Source organism: Homo sapiens, chromosome 1 (genome assembly GCF_000001405.40).
Source record: "Homo sapiens chromosome 1, GRCh38.p14 Primary Assembly".
Lineage (NCBI taxonomy): Eukaryota > Metazoa > Chordata > Mammalia > Primates > Hominidae > Homo > Homo sapiens.
In genome coordinates this window covers 43,122,478-43,139,238 of record NC_000001.11, presented here as the reverse complement: position 1 = coordinate 43,139,238, position 16,761 = coordinate 43,122,478, and positions in this window count along the sequence as shown.

Sequence of the window (16,761 nt, the reverse complement as noted above, 5' to 3'; positions counted from 1 at the left end):
GCGGGCAGGCCTGGATAATATCCAGCCTCCCACAAGAAGGTGGTGGAGCAGAGTGTTCCCTGACTCCTCCAAGGAAAGGGAGACTCCCTTTCACGGTCTGCTAAGTAACGGGTGCCTTCCCAGGCACTGGCATTACTGCTTGACCAAGGAACCCTCAAGTGGCCCTTATGCAGGTGTGACAGAGGGCTCACCTCTTGCTTTCTAGGTCACTTCTCACAATGTCCCGTTGGCACCTGACCCTATACCCGCTGGTTATTCCTTGGTTATATTAGTAATACAACAAAGAGTAATATTAAAAGCTAATGAGTAATAATATTTATACTAATGATTGATAATGTCTATGGTTATCTCTATATCTAATTTGTATTATAACTATTCTTATTCTAACTATTTTCCTTATTATACTGCAACAGTTTGTGCCTTCAGTCTCTTGCCTCAGCACCTGGGTAATCCTTCGCCCACACTATGGCATGTTAAGTCAGGGTAAGGCTTTTCTTTGGAAAAGATGGAGGAGGTAGTGACTGGAAGGAGGTTTTGGACAGGAGGTTTTGCTACACTAGCAGTGTTAGAGATGCCCACATGATTTTTGAAACATTTAATTATTTCTGATTAAACTCTTCAGTAACCTAAGAATATAATTACATTTTCTTAACATAATAATTACTATCTAACTGCCAATAATATCTCTGTTAAAGGATTAGCAAAAATCCAAGGGTGTTCCAGAATGTCTATACTAGCAGAATCCAGCTCAAATTAATTCTAACTGTACTTATCTGGTATAGACTGGTTCAAGTAGATTAAACCATTGCCAATTTCTCCACGTAACTTCAAACTGATCCAAATAATTTAAAATTAACCCAGACTATCTCTTAGCACAACTAATATCTGACTGTTAAAGTTGAGGTTATCATTGCCTTTTTTACAGAGAAAGACAGACTCAGCGAGACAATATAGAATAGAAAAAAGAGAGGAGCGTAGCGAAAGTTTTGGCATCAGACTGCCTAACTCTCTCACTTACTATGAACTCAAGTATATGACTTAACATCTCTAAACCTCTTATCTAAAAAGGGTAAAATAATAGTACCTATCAGACAGAATAATTATTAAGACTAACTAAGGTATTATATGTAAAGTATTTAGCCCAATGACTAGGCATTCAAATCAGGAAGCACTCAATGAATATTTGCTACTATTCTTATGATCCATTTCATCAGTCAGCAGAGGACAAGCTCTACCATGGTAGCAGATAACCCCTGCATATCAGTGGCTTAACACAACCAAGCTTTGTTTTTTGCTTCTATTTGGGGCTCAGAGGAGTCAGCGAGCTTTTCTTGGCAGCTGTCCTATAGTGATCACTTGGGGATGTCAGCTGGTTCTTTCTTGCCAGTCTGTCCTCTCAGAGGTTTCTAGCTTCCAACCACACAATGTAAGAATACATGGAGAATTTACACCATCTCTTTACTGCATCACATTGCCATCAGCAAATCTCTGTCACATGGTTTTTGCCAACCAATGCTAACCCTACGGGGCCGGGAAATGCCTGGGAAGAACCTATGGGATGAACACATAACATTGTCTCTGTCTTCATACCGAGGTTCATGCTGAGGGAGGCAGCAGGGGTGTTGCTTGAGCAAGATTTCTGATCCAGCCTAATAGACACGGCCTCCTACGCAGTTCTGGACAGTTGTTTTAGTGTGGAAATGTGGGCCCATCACCTAATTCTTCAAGAGAAGCCAGAAATCTTGATATTTAATTTAATTTTTTTTTTTGTATGTTTAGTAGAGACGGGGTTTCACTGTGTTTCGATCTCCTGACCTCGTGATCTGCCCACCTCGGCCTGCCAAAGTGCTGGGATCACAGGCGTGAGCCATCGCGCCCCGCTCCGAAATCTTGATATTTAAATGTTGACAGCCAATCCTATTTGAGAGAGTGAGAGTGAGAAGGACAGTGACTGTGCTGGCCAAATTAAATAGAATTCATGTGTTGAATATCAGGTAACAACTCTGATTTCATCCCACTCTTCCATCAGATAAATAGGGACGCTAAAGCCCAAGGGGAAAAGTAATTGGCAAAACCACAATAAACACTGACAGACTAATCAGTGCCCAAACCCCAGTCTGTGCTCTTTGCTCTGAAACATGGCTATAGCAAGCCCATGCTTTCCCTCCCACTCTTGATGCTCCCAGACTCAGCAGCCTCACTTCAAAAAGAGCCATTCTTGGCAGTGACAGGTATGAGAACTGCACCAGTGGAAAGCCTGGCCCAGTCAGGCTGTTGGTACAGGTACGGTGAGCAGGAAGTCCCAGGGCCATTGCCTATTTATTGGTGATTTGCGTATCCTTTTGTACTAAGTGCCTGTTTCTATCTCTAAATTATTTTCTACTAGCTTGCCTGTCTTGCTGATTTGTAAGAGTTCTGTATGTATTCTGAATAATTGTTCTTTGAAAAGCTTGTATGTGTTGCACATATTTTAAGACCTTGCTCTTAAGGTCCTCCGCGTGTATTCACTCCAGGAGAAACAAATCATGGGGAACAGAGGGGCTGGAGAGGATGGAAGCAGTATAGCACTCCAACACTTAATGCTTGCAACAGTCACCTTCACTGTCCACTCCCCCACCCCAAGGCTGCTGAAAGAATCTGGTGGTCAAGGGCAATCTGGTAGTGATGCTTGGACACCTGAGGTACCTGAGTCACAGGTTCTATCTGAACTTCAGACACGAGATGGCTCACAGCATTTGGAGAAGCTGGAGGAGTTTCATCATAACAAATGGTGTACAACAGCTAAATTTCTCCTAGACACCAGATTATTGATGTTTTATTATGGTTTTCGTTTATTTATTTGTTCTTGTTAATGGGGGGCTCAGATATTGAGAGTGCTTTTGTCAGAGACGTTTGAATCAGAGCAACTCCATCTTGTCTAGGGGATGGGTAAAATAAGGCTGAGACCTGCTGGGCTGCATTCCCAGGAGGTTAAGGCATTCTTAGTCACAAGATGAGACAGGAGGTTGGCACAAGGCATGGGTCATAAAGACCTTGCTGATAAAACAGGTTGCAGTAAAGAAACTGGCTAAAACCCACCAACACCAGGATGGCAATGACAGTGACCTCTGGTCGTCCTCACTACTACACTCCCACCAGTACCATGACAGTTGACAAATGCCATGGCAACGACAGGAAGTTACGCAATATGATCTAAAAAAGGCAGGCCAGAATTATTTACACCTTGTTTAGCATATAATCAAGAAATAACCATAAAAATGGGCAATCAGCAATCCACCGGGCTGCTCTGTCTATGGAGGAGCAGCCATCCTTCTATTCCTTCACTTTCATTATAGACTTACTTTCACTTTACTCTATGGACTCACCCTGAATTCTTTTTTTGCATGAGATCCAAGAACCCTCTCTTGGGGTCTGGATCCGGTCCCCTTTCTGGTAACACTTCTGGGCTTGGATAACCTGTGAGAGGCAGTGAGAAGAAACGTAAGGCCTCTCTCCCTCACCTTACCTCACCAGAAGGTAAGAAAAGGTGAGAAACAAGGAGGTTTTCCTTTGCAAAGCCAAAGGGAAGAGAGTGGGTCAAGGGGCGGGGAGTTGCACAGCCCTCCAACACTTAATGCCATCAATAGTCACCCTGACTGCCTCCTCTCCCAGCCCAAGGCTGCTGGAAGAATTTGGTGGCCATGAGCAGTCTGGTAGTGACATGGGGACACCTGAAGCACTGACTCACAAGTCCTACCTCTCTCTCAGAAAGGAAGCAGCTCATAGCACTGGAGGAGCTAGAGGAGTTCCATCTGCCTTACCCTGCCAAACTTCAGGGTGGAGTGGAGACTTGAGCCTACAGGCTTACTTTTCCTCATAGATGGATTCAGGTCTGGCCCTACACCCCCTCCTGCCCTACAACCACACACACCAGTCTGGGCTGGAAGCAGTGCCTGTTGGAGGAGGGGGAGGAGCCTCTTTCCCATCCTGATCATTCCTATGTCTCCATCTTCCCAACACTTGCCCCAGTCTGGTTGTCTGGGAGACACGGAGTAAGGGTGGTTGGAAGTGTACAAGGAGTTAGGCAGGTGGTCCCAGAGTCTCCCTAATCACATGCACACAATGGGTCCCCTGTAGGCCAACTACTGACACTGTTGTTGACCTTGGGGTAGGGGTGGATGGGCTGGTGGTGAGATTACTCTTGGAGGGGCTCAGGAAGACCATGCTGGTGAGTAGGGGCTTCAAAATACATGAAGCAAAAATGGAGAAATCTCCAAAGAGAAGTAGATAAATCCAGAATTATAGGCAGATATATCAATACCTTTCTCTCAATAATCACTAGAACAAATGGAAAATCCACAGAGATATAGAAGACATCAAGACTATCAACCAACTTGATGTAATTGAGATTTATAGAACATGCCATTCAACAACAGCAGAATACACATTTCTTTCCAGTATATAGAAAACATCTGGCCAAAACAGTCCATACTCTGGATTATAAAGCATGTCTTCACTTGGAAAGTATTCAAGTGATACAGAGTATACACCAAAGAAAATCACTGAGGCAAGTCTCAATCAATTTAAAAGTTTATTTTTCCAAGGTTGAGGATGTGCCTCGGAAAAAGAGACACAAGCCACAGTAGGATTGTAGGATCTGTGACCTGTACTTTTTTCCAAATAGGATTTTGAAGTATTCAATATTTAAATGTGGAAAAGTGGGCAGGAGGGGAAAGGGGAAAAAGGAAAAAAAAGAGGGAGGGTATGGTCACATTCTTTCAAGGTTTTGATTAGGCTCACTGAATCCACATGTTGCACTACAAAAGGAGGGGTAGAGGGAACAGTCAATTATGTATTTGTCTTCTGCTCAGTAAATCTGCACTTTACATAAAATAAACATAGAGTAGAGGAAGCAGTCAAACATGCATTCCTGGGGTGGGTGGGAGATGATTTCTTTTTGTCCCTTGCCTGTGAAGATAAGCTGTTAATTTACATTGTCAGGGTGAGGGAGGCTCCCACATGTGGCCTTCTAGCTATAGCTATCAGTTTAAGAACAAAAGAAAAAGCAAGCGTTTTGCTTTTTTTCATGACTCAGCTTCCAAGGTTAATTTTTCCCTTTTGGCATAGTGAATTTGAAGTGCCAAGATTTTATTTTCCTTTCAGAAGAGTATGTTCTCTGACTGAAAATTAAATTGGGAATCAATAACAAAGACTAATAGGAATCCCCAAATATTTGGAAACTAAATAACAGACTTCTAAAAAGTAGAAAATTAGAAAGTATTTTGAGCTGAATAAAAATTGAAAACATATCGAAATTTGTGGAATGTTGCTCAAGCAGTACTTAAGTAACATTCTTAACCACTTTAAGAAACTGGAAAAAGAAGAGCAGATGAAATGAAAAATAAGCAGAAGAAATGAAATAATGAAAATTAGAGTGCAAATCAATAAAGCAGTAAACAGTAAACAAGGAAAAAAGATCAATGAATAGTTCTCAAAGAACCAGTCTTCACTCAAGAAGAAATAGATAACTTGAATAGTTCTTTATTTATTAAATAAATTAAATTTTTAAAGAGACCTTCTCTTTAAAAGAAAACTCCAGCCCAGATAGCTTCACTGGTGAATTCTACCAAACATTTAATGAGAAAACAATTTCAGTTCTACACAGACTGTTCCAGAATATTGAAGAGAATACTTCTCTACTCATTCTACAAGGCTAGCATTACCCTGATAGCAAAACCAAACAGACGTTACGAGAAAACTATAGACCAATGTTCCTTAAGAACATAGATGCACAAATTCTTTAAAAATCAGCAAATCAAATCTAACAATATATTTTTAAAATAATACATCATGACCAAGTAGGATTTATTGCAGGAACACAAAGTTCATTTGACATCCCAAAATCAATCACTGTATTTCACCATATAAACAAACTAAAAACCATGTGATTGATCTCAATAGATGAAGGAGAAGCATTGACAAAATCCAACAACCATTCCTGATAAAAACTCTCAGCTAAGAGGGAATAGAAGGAACTTCCTGAACCTGATGAAGAGTATCTATGAAAACTCTACAGCTAAAATTACATTTAATGGTGAAAGGCATGAATGATTTTGTCCTAAGCTCAAGAACAAGACAAGAATATCTGCATTTTTATTCAATGTTGTGCTGGAGAATCTAGCCAGTTCTATAAGGCAAGAAAAAGAAAAAAGAGGCATCTGTTGGGGAAAAAAGGAGTCTATTCTTTGATTACATGATAGTCTATATGGACATTTGATGGAAGTATTCGATGTGTGTTACGTAGCTTTGAAATGATTTCAAACACTTACATAATTTGCTACATGAGTGATATATGTTTTATGTGGTAAGAACTTGGAGTGTACTTCTCTTCCCTCTGAGAATGTTACATAACACATCACACCTATGACACCTCGTAGGTGAGTTACAGACTTCAACTGCTGGGTTCCAAAGTACATATAACCTAAGAGTTTGACAGACACTTTGAGAATTTAGGCCGTGGCAGGGCTACACTCTGTCGGCTGCTTCTGCAAAGACCTACAGCTCAGGCTGCAACAGGGCCGAACCATGTTAGCCTTTGAGTTAATCTCTGAAGCCTCACCAGTCAACACTGGCACTGCCCTCTCATGTCTAGGGAATATAAATGTTGTCACAGATTTCCACTGTGTTGCTCAAGCCATATAAAGGCACTCCCTAAACTTCAATTAGACTTTTCTTTCCACAGAAGCCTGTTGTCATCCTAATTGACCAACTAGACTTTAATAATTCGACTGTAACAAAATTGGAACTCATTCACTATGTGGTTAATGTACTTCACCTGTCAAGTGTATTCCCAGTGAAATTTGTTCTAATTATTCTCCCCATCTTTAAGCGTTGTGAACAAAGGAAATTTTTGTATGGCAATAAACTATGTGCTTCATACTTTGATCATCCTTTTATTTTAACCACACAAAATAGTGTGCTGGAATTTCTGGGCTTTTTTAAGCTTCAGCAGAGGAAAGCTTCAGAGTCCTGTTACTAGAAGCAGTGAGAATGGATGTTGGCTAGCAAAATCAGTTGCCAAACATAGTCTATAACATCAGTTTTAGAAATCACCCCTTAGGAATTAGTACAAAAATGGAAAATCCTACATCTGCGAAGAAGTTCATTTCAGTATTGATTACAAAATAAAGTTTTGTGAAACCATGCATCATATTATGCATCCATTTAAGATACATGTAATCAGCATGGAGTAATTTGGAGCAATGCATGTGATGTGAAATGAAGTGGAGAAAAGCAGTACTTGATAAAACAGTGGAAGAAAATACACTGAAAAGAAAAAGCCATTGGTTTTAGGGAAGTGGAATCGTGGTTGATCCCCTTTTCATATTCCTATCTTCCAGTCTTTCAGGAATATGATCACAACAGGATGTTGACTGGGACTTTTCCTGTTTTCTCAAAAGACTTTGAGATCTTTACATCTTTACTTTTTAAAAGAGCCTCAACACGTTGCTAGACACAAACCAATCTTGTGACCATCACTCCATTATCACATACCTATAGACTACAAGAAAAGACTTGAAATGTGAAAGGGAGGTTCTTTAAACAGGAAAATGTAGTCTTTATTGTAGGGGGAGAGTAATGTGGCTTTTTCCCTCCTGGGCTGTCCTCTAGGTCTCCTCCCCACCTTTGCCCCATGATGACGTTGGACAGTTCACTGGGAGGGCTTGGGACGTTTTGATGTGTCCCTTGGAATTTTGGGGATAAATGAGTCTGATGTCTCCCGCACACCTGGAGAATTCTTAAGGCAAAGGCTGACTGGAGAGGCCCGTGAAAGAAGAAAGAGGAGAAAGGGCAACAGCGGACAGCCAGCAGTGGAACTTCCCAATTTGGTGTTGCAAGGATGTGTGTGTTTAATACGGGATCTGGCAGTGTGTGCCCTGCTTGGAAACTTAACTTGGCTCCTTGGTCCCTACCCTTGTGGAGGTTATACTCTGAGTGGGAGGCAGATAGTAATCAAAGAGTCCTATAAATAAACATAAACCTACTTGTCGGAAGTACTAAAGTAGAAAGGTGCATGGTGCTACACGAGCGTATAGTAGGTATGCTTCGCCTCGTTAGAGAGGTCTGGGAGGGTTTCCTTGTGGAAGTGTTGTATGAGATCCTAAAATAAGAGTTAACCAGAGGAAATTCGTGGGGGAGGATGAGAGCATTCCTGGGGGGAGGCAACAACATATGCCAAGTTCCTGTGCTAGAAGGAGCATGCCTGTGCAAGGAACAGAAAGAAGGTCCAGTCGGGCAGAAAGCAAGGGAGAGCAGGTGCAGAAGTGCAAGGCCAACCATGGGCCTTGTGGGCCATGTTGGAATTTAGTCCTTTATATTAACAGCTCTGGAAAGAGATTAAAGCATTTGAACCTGGGAATGATGTTCTAAGACTTGTGATTTGAATGGATCATTCTAGCGGAAGTGTGGTTAAGAGATTATCAGAAGAGAATGCATGCAGGTGTAGATCTTTTTACTAATTTTGCTTGGAATATAGTGGGGCATTTCGATCTTCAGAGTATTTCTCTGGAAATTCAGAAAGTGTTTTCCTATATATTATACCCCTGGATCCACTTACTCTGACCCTCTGATCCATTTACTGTTTTCTTTAGACATTCTTTAATACTTACAGGTTGGATCTATGTAACTCATCCTCCATTCTGTAATTATCAGAATTTTCCTTCTTTTCTCTTGCATTCTGAGAAGATTTTAATGTTTATGCAAGGTCCATTTTTCTGTTTATTCTCTCCAGTTTAGGTTATATTTTGACCATTGTGTCAAATTTTATTTTATTGTATTTCTTCATTTAATTTCTTATCTCAGTCTATTACCTTCTTATTCTTGCACCTGATTGAAATAAGAGAAAAACTTATTTAAAAATACTTTTGTTGTCTGCCTTTCAAATAAGGGCTTTTTCTTAGAATCTTCAGGATGTTTTTCTGTTCTCATGAACTACAGACGTATATTATGGTTGTGGCCATGGGAGTGGTGAAATGGTGCAGCTGAATGATGGTGTTTGCAATGATAATGGGGGTGATTATAATACTGATGGTGATAATAATGGTTAAATGATGAGTTGGTGATAATACTGAGAATGATAGTGTAATAGGAAAAGGATGATAGTTCTGGGATGACGGTGAATCAAAGCGATGATGAGAATACTGATGGGTGATGAGGTTGTAATGATACATGATGAAAATAACAGAGTGATAGTGGTGGGGAAAGTGAAGGTGTCTTGGGTATGTGCTTCGTAGCTAGTGTACACACTTGGGATAGAATTAGGTAAAAGTTAAAACAAGTTTTTTTTGATGCCTCTGAGGGACACTGAGTCACTTACACTTTTTCTGCTTTGCAGCTGGTGTTGGCCCAGCTGCCTATTAAGCTGAAGTTCTTAATGATGTTCCTTCCATTTCCTGAAGCACTGAACTTAACAAGCCTCCCAGGAATTCTCACTTCTGAGCAACTCAACTGTGGCTTAATTGGGCCACAGCCAGGAGGGAAGACTTCCGAGGCAGAGGGACCCAGGAGTGGCCCCCAGTAACTGGGGAATAAACTTGGAGCCTCATAGCAGGAGGAGGAAAGAGAGAGAGTGGAGACTGTCAAGATATTACAGAGCGTAGCTCTCTGTATAATTGGCAGTTCTTATATCCTCCTGGGAAGTGTCAGCCTAATGCAGAGCTTGTGCGAGATTCTCAGCAGCTCAAAGCCGGGGGCCTGTGATTATGACTGCGAAGTGTCATACACAATTCTAAGGCAGGTCCCTGAATTCAGGTGATTATGTGTCTGCCTGAGAAGTTTTTAATCCACCTTCAGCTATCCTTGACATGCAAACCAGTCACTGAAGATCAGTGCTATTAGGAGCCTTCAAAGTTGGCTTTGCTGGTTCTTAAGTGACAGTGCAAGGGCTAGTACATCCTGGCTGCATCAGAAACCTCTCAAGTTTTAATTGCTATTATTTGTGATTTCTTTTATTTTTTTTCTAATTACACGAGTAGCCATTAATATGCTCATTATAAACGTTCAAATACAAATAAGTAAAGGTTCTCTTCGATCCTCTCTTCAGCACCAGTCCTCATACCAGAGGTTAAGTCTGCTTCCACACTTTAAAAAAATATGCTTTAACATTACGTGTGTGAATATAAAGAAATATGATTTTTTCTAAGGTAGAGGATATAATGTCTTTTTTCTAAGGTAGAGGATATAATGACATCATAACATAACAATAATACAAATTTTTATTGCTAGGCCAAACATATATATATGTGTGTATATATATGTGTGTGTATATATATGTGTGTGTGTGTGTGTGTGTGTGTGTGTATATATATATGCACTAACTTTTAATGGATGCTTCCAAAAGGGCACTATTCAATTTAAAGTCCCATCAAGAATGGTCATTAGAGGCCAGGCACGGTGGTTCACACCTGTAATCCCAGCACTTTGGGAGGCTGAGACAGGAGTATCACGAGGTCAGGAGATTGAGACCAGCCTGGCTAAAACGGTGCAACTCCATCTCTACCAAAAATACAAAAACTTAGCCGGGCGTGGTGGCGGGTGCCTGTAGTCCCAGCTACTCAGGAGGCTGAGGCAGAAGAATGGCGTGAACCTGGGAGGCGGAGCTTGCAGTGAGCCGAGATTGTGCCACTGCACTCCAGCCTGGGCGACAGAGGGAGACTCCGTCTCAACAAAAAAAAAAAAAGAAAAAAAAAAGAATGGTCATTACAGAAATGCAAATCAAAACCACAATGAGATACCATCTCCTGCCAGTTAGAATGGCAATCATTAAATAGTCAGGAAACAACAGATGCTGGAGAGGATGTGGAGAAATAGGAAAGCCTTTACACTGTTGGTGGGACTGTAAATTAGTTCAACCATTGTGGAAGACAGTGTGGCAATTCCTCAAGGATCTAGAACTAGAAATACCATTTGACCCAGCAATCCCATTACTGGGTATACACCCAAAGGATTATAAATCATGCTTGTAATCCTAACATTTTGGGAGGTCAAGGCAGGTGGATTGCTTAAGCTCAGGAGTTTGAGACCAGCCTTGGCAACATGGCAAAACCCTGTGTCTACAAATGTACAAAAATTAGCCAGTCCTGGTGGCACGCACCTGTAGTCCCAACTAATTGGGGGGCTGAGGCAGGAGGATTGCTTGAACCCGGGTGGTTGAGGCTGCAGTGACCCGAGATTGCACCACTGCACTCTAGCCTGGGCAACAAAGTAAGACCTCCATCTCAAAAAAAAAAAGAAAAAGAAAGAAAGAAAGAAAGAAAAGGTAATTAGTAAATTGGAATTAAAAACTGAAGAAATTACTTCAAGACAAAGAGATGAACAACATGAAAAAGAACTTAAAAGCCACATCCACATAAGATAGAAGAGAACATGTTGTATAAATTTGATGTAGCAGGAAAGAGTAGATAGGAGAAAGACAATACTTGAAGAAATTCCCCCAAATTGATGAAAGACAAAACAACAGATTAAAGAAGTCTGACAAATTCTCAAGCTGGATAAGTAAAAAGAAATTCACATCTGGATACAACATGGTCAACTGCTGGATGAAATCAACCCAATAGTCCCATAGACACTTTTTTTGTTGTCTTTTTGTTTTTGGATAAACATAGAAATGGACCCTTCTGGTCAATTTCTTTTTTCTTTTTTTTTTTGAGGCGGAGTCTCACTGTATCGCCCAGGCTAGAGTGCAGTAGCATGATCTCAGCTCACTGAAAGCTCCACCTCCTGGGTTCACACCATTCTCCTGCCTCAGCCTCCCGAGTAGCTGGGACTACAGGCACCCACCGCCACGCCCAGCTAATTTTTTTTTTGTATTTTTAGTAGAGATGGGGTTTCACCGTGTGAGCCAGGATGGTCTCGATCTCCTGACCTCGTGATCCAACCACCTCAGCTGCCCAAAGTGCTGGGATTACAGGCGTGAGCCACCAAGCCTGGCCCTTAAAGCTTGAAACTTGCATTTGTTTTATCTGAGTTCCTTCTTAGCAACACCCTCAGGCCACTCAAAAAAAGTATCAAAGAGCTGAAACTCACCAGGTCACAGCATCCAGACAATGAAATGCCAGACACCTCATTCATCACTATTGCTTCCTTACCCCTCCCTAGTTCCTTGGGAGGGGTACATTTTCTGTTTTCTTATACATTGTTATATTTCTTCCCTGCCATATAAACCTCTAATTCCAGTCATCAGGGGAGACAGATTTGAGACTGATCTCCCATCTCCTTGGCTACAGCACCCAATTAAAGCCTAAAGCCTTCTTCCTTGGCAATAATCCTGGTCTCAGTGATGGGCTTTCTCTGGGGCAAGCAGCAGGACCCACACCAAGCCCCTGGTGTTGTGGTAACACTGAATACAAAAGACAAACAGAAGGTCTTAAAAGCAGCCAGAAAAGAGAGATTACCTATGCAAGGCTGCCAGTTAAATTGATAGCTGGCTACTCCATAGCAGCAATACAGGTCAGAATACAATGGAATAATACCTGCAAAGTGCTGAGAGAAAACAATAGTCAGCCTAGAGTTCAAGATCCAGCAAAATGATCTTTCACTAATAAGGGTGAAACAAAGACATTTACAGGCAACAAAAATGACAAATAAATATCAAGTATGTAAAGTAATAATAATAATTATTGTTTGAGACAGTCCCCCTCTGTCACCCAGTTTGGAGTGCAATGGCACAATCATGGCTCACTGCAGCCTCAGCCTCCTGGGCACAAGTGATCCTCCCACCTCAGCCTCCTGAGTAGCTGGGACTATAGGCACATACCACCATGCCCAGCTAATTTTTAAATTTTTTTGTAGAGATGGGGTCTCCCTATGTTGCCCAGGCTGGTCTGGAACTCCTGGGCTCAAGCAATCCTCCTGTCTCAGCCTACCAAAGTGTTGGGATTACAGGTGTGAGCCACTGCACCCAGCCAACAATAATAGTTATGACCAAATTTTGTGTTAAAATTTTTAAAATAGCACTAAAATTCTGGACAAGAATAACCTGTAAGTCCAGAGGAAGGTGACTGGAGATGAACTATACCATGTCCCAGGAAAATAAATAACAAAGTATGGTCACAGATAAGGCTTGGTAAAATCACAAGAAAAATACTATGAATAGCTTTATGCTAATAAATTTGAAAATAGATAACTTTTAAACTGATGAAAAGGACACTTTTATATAAAAATATAATTTAGATGAAATGGACAATCTTATGTAAGGATATAATTTACCAAAAACAGTCTTAAAACCTACATTGATCTATAACCTTTAAATAGATAGAATTAATAGTTTGTAATAATCTGCCCCCCTCCCCACTAAAAAAAGGACCTTGGAAATTTTAAAGGCAAGTTCCGTCAAATATTCAAGTGGCATATGATTCTAATTTTACACAAGTTGTTCCAAATAATCCAAAAAGGGGGACACTGGGCGGGAAATGCTCTCAAATTCATTTACGGTAATCAATCTAATTTGATACCAAAGCCAGTAAAAAGCTGAAGAAAGAAAATACATAGACCAGTTTCATTTACGAAGAGAGATGTAAAGAGCCTCGATACATTAGCAAACCATATCTCATATGTACAAAAAAAAAAATCTTTTAGCAAATAAGGATTAAAAGAAGCTTTCTTGGCCAGGTGCAGTGGCTCACATCTGTAATCCCAGTGCTTTAGGAAGCCCAGGCAGCTGAGGAGGGAAGATCACTTGAGCCCAGGAGTTCTAGGCTGCAGTGAGCTATGACTGTGCCACTGCATTCCAGCCTGGGCAACAGAGCAAGACCCATCTCAAAAAAAAAAAAAAAAAGAAAAAAGAAAAAACCAACAACAACAGCAACAAAAAACCAGCAGCAACTTTCTTAAACCTAAAAAGTATATCTTCTAAAAATCTATAGCAAACATCAACCTTCATGGTAAAATACTACATATAATTTAAGTCAGAAACAAGACAAAGATGCCCATAATTACCACTTCTCTTCACATTGCACTAGATGTCCTGACTAGTGCAGTAAGACAAGAAAAACAAACATAGAGTTTAAGAATTGATGAGTAAACAAAGTTGCTAGCATTCATAAATAATTGGGTTGTGTATATAGAAACACCAGAGAAAATACAAAGTACAATGTAAGTTTACATAAGAGTTTATCAATTTTATGAAAGAACAGAAAGATATTAGTGTTTTAAAGATATTAGTGTTTATTTTTAAATTATAGTGATTAAAATTGTGTGGTTTTTGACCACTGAAACAGAATAAAGAGACCAGAAACAGACCTTCATACATGGGACAGTAATATGACAAAAGTAAGCCCTACAAATCAAAGTAGAAAAAATGGTCTATTCAATATTTGATCTTAGGACAATTGGTTACCCATATTTAAAAAAACAGAGCCTTATATATCACACCATATATACAGATCCATTTCAGGTAGATAATCAGTTTGATGTGAAAGCAAAACTTTAAACTTTTAAAAGAAATTATAATAATGATCTGTTTATGAGCTTGGGGTAGGGAAGGATACAGAACATATAAAATGTAAATTATGTAGGATAATACATTTGACTACAAATAAAATGTGTCTATGTATCTAAAGGTACAACAAACAAATTGAAAAGTTACGGTGTAGTCTGGGGGAAAATATGTGTAGCACAAATATCAGCTGAAATAGCATTTCACTTAATCTTCATGGCAACTCTGTGAGATGGGTGTTTTATGTCCACCTTATAAATGTAGAAATTGAAGCTAAGTGAAGATAATACATTTGCTCATAATTGTGATAAACAAAGATTCAACCTAGATCTGTCTCCTTCTGAAGCTTATGCTTCTAATCCCTCTACCACAGCTCCTTGCATAAACACGAAGCACCATTGAATGGGTGCAGAGATGAGGGGCAGAGGAACGGAGACTCTAGCACAGGAGAGAAGCCAAGAAGGCATCCCCAATATGAGAGAAAAGTGAGACTTCAGGATGATAACAAAGTAACCAAACCAGGTTGAAGCAACTCAGAAGGCTCCAGAAAAGAGATCTTCAACAAGATGAAGTTTTAAGAAAATCTTGTGTATCTGAATTTGGGAGAAAACTTAGACAATAGTGGGGAAAGTATGAAGATGAATTAGTAATAAATAAATATAAAACTAAAGAAGAAAGGTAAATGGAAATTAAACACTATCTATACAGTGTGTGTGTCCTTCAGTAGGTGAGTGAATAAATAAATTGTGGAATATTTAGGGGATGAAATTCTATGCAACAGTTAACAATGAACCCACTACAACGATCCATGTATCAGCATAGATAAGTCATTAACAAGAATGTTGAGTGAAAAAAACAAATCAGAAAAAGTAAAACATACATTATTTTATATTTAAAATATGAGAACAAAATAATACTATATATAATATTATTTTTTAATAAATCCATATTTGATAAAAGACTATAAACATCAACAGAAGAATATACACTAATTTCAGAATAGTGTCTACTTCTGGGGAAGAATGGATTGATACAATTATAGCAAAAAGTTAAAAGGTGTTAAACCTGGATGATGGATACAAGGATGATTGTTATATTTTTGTTATATTCATTTGCATATTTTTCTGTATTTAGAAAGTATTCCAGAAATCTTTAAAATCAAACACGCACACACACACACACACACACCCACGAGGAAGAACTGCTTAAAGTGAATCAACTCTTTTCCAAACTGCTTTCAGCCTCCAGGCTTTGGAAATTTAATACCAAAGCCTGGTCCATGTTTTGATCAAAATTCTTGGGGCAACTGAGTACAGAGGCCCATCTAGGTTCTAGGAAATGTTAAGCAAAACAATGGGCCTTGCCCCAGGAAACACATCAATAAGGAAGACTCTGAAAGTTTCTATAAATTGAGCTGATAAATTGATCAACAAAAATATTGACATGAACACTGTGTATTCAAACTGGCATGCTAGTACAAATAAGGCAACAGCAAAGAGGGAGGAGACTCATATTTATTTCGCACAATAGAGTCCACTGTTGAAACATAAGCCTGCTTTTCTCAGTACACCCACCAGGCCAGTAAAATACTCAAGCAATGCTAAGTGATAAAGTTAAGCCTTTTATCAGACCTAATTAGGTCAGTCCCCTCTGATCTTCCAGAGCAAAAGTTGATCAAAAATCTACAGAAATATTAATGGCAAGTAACATTTATTAAATGTACTACAGTATCCCCTCATCTGTGGTTTCACTTTTTATAGTTTTAATTACCCATGATCAACTGCAGTCTGAAAATAGGTAAGTACAGCACAATAAGATATTTTGAGACAGAAAGGGGCTACATTCACATAATTTTTATTATGGTATATATATGTGTGTGTGTGTGTGTGTGTGTGTGTGTGTGTGTATATTTTTTGAGACTGTCTCTCTCTGTCTCCTAGGCTGGAGTTCAGTGGCATGATCTCAGCTCACTGCAACCTCCACCTCCCGGGTTCCAGCAATTCTCCTGCCTCAGCGTCCTTAGTAGCTGGGATTACAGGTGCGCACCACCACACCCAGCTAATTTTTGTATTTTTAGTAGAGACAGGGTTTCACCATGTTGGACAGGCTGGTCTCAAACTCCTGACCTCAAGTGATCTGCCCGCCTCGGCCTCCCAAAGTGTTGGGATTACAGGCATAAGCCACTGCGCCCAGCCTATTACAGTCTATTCTTATAATTGTTCTATTTTATTGCTAGCTATTGTTAATCTCTTACTGTGCCTAATTTATAAATTAAACTTTATCATAGG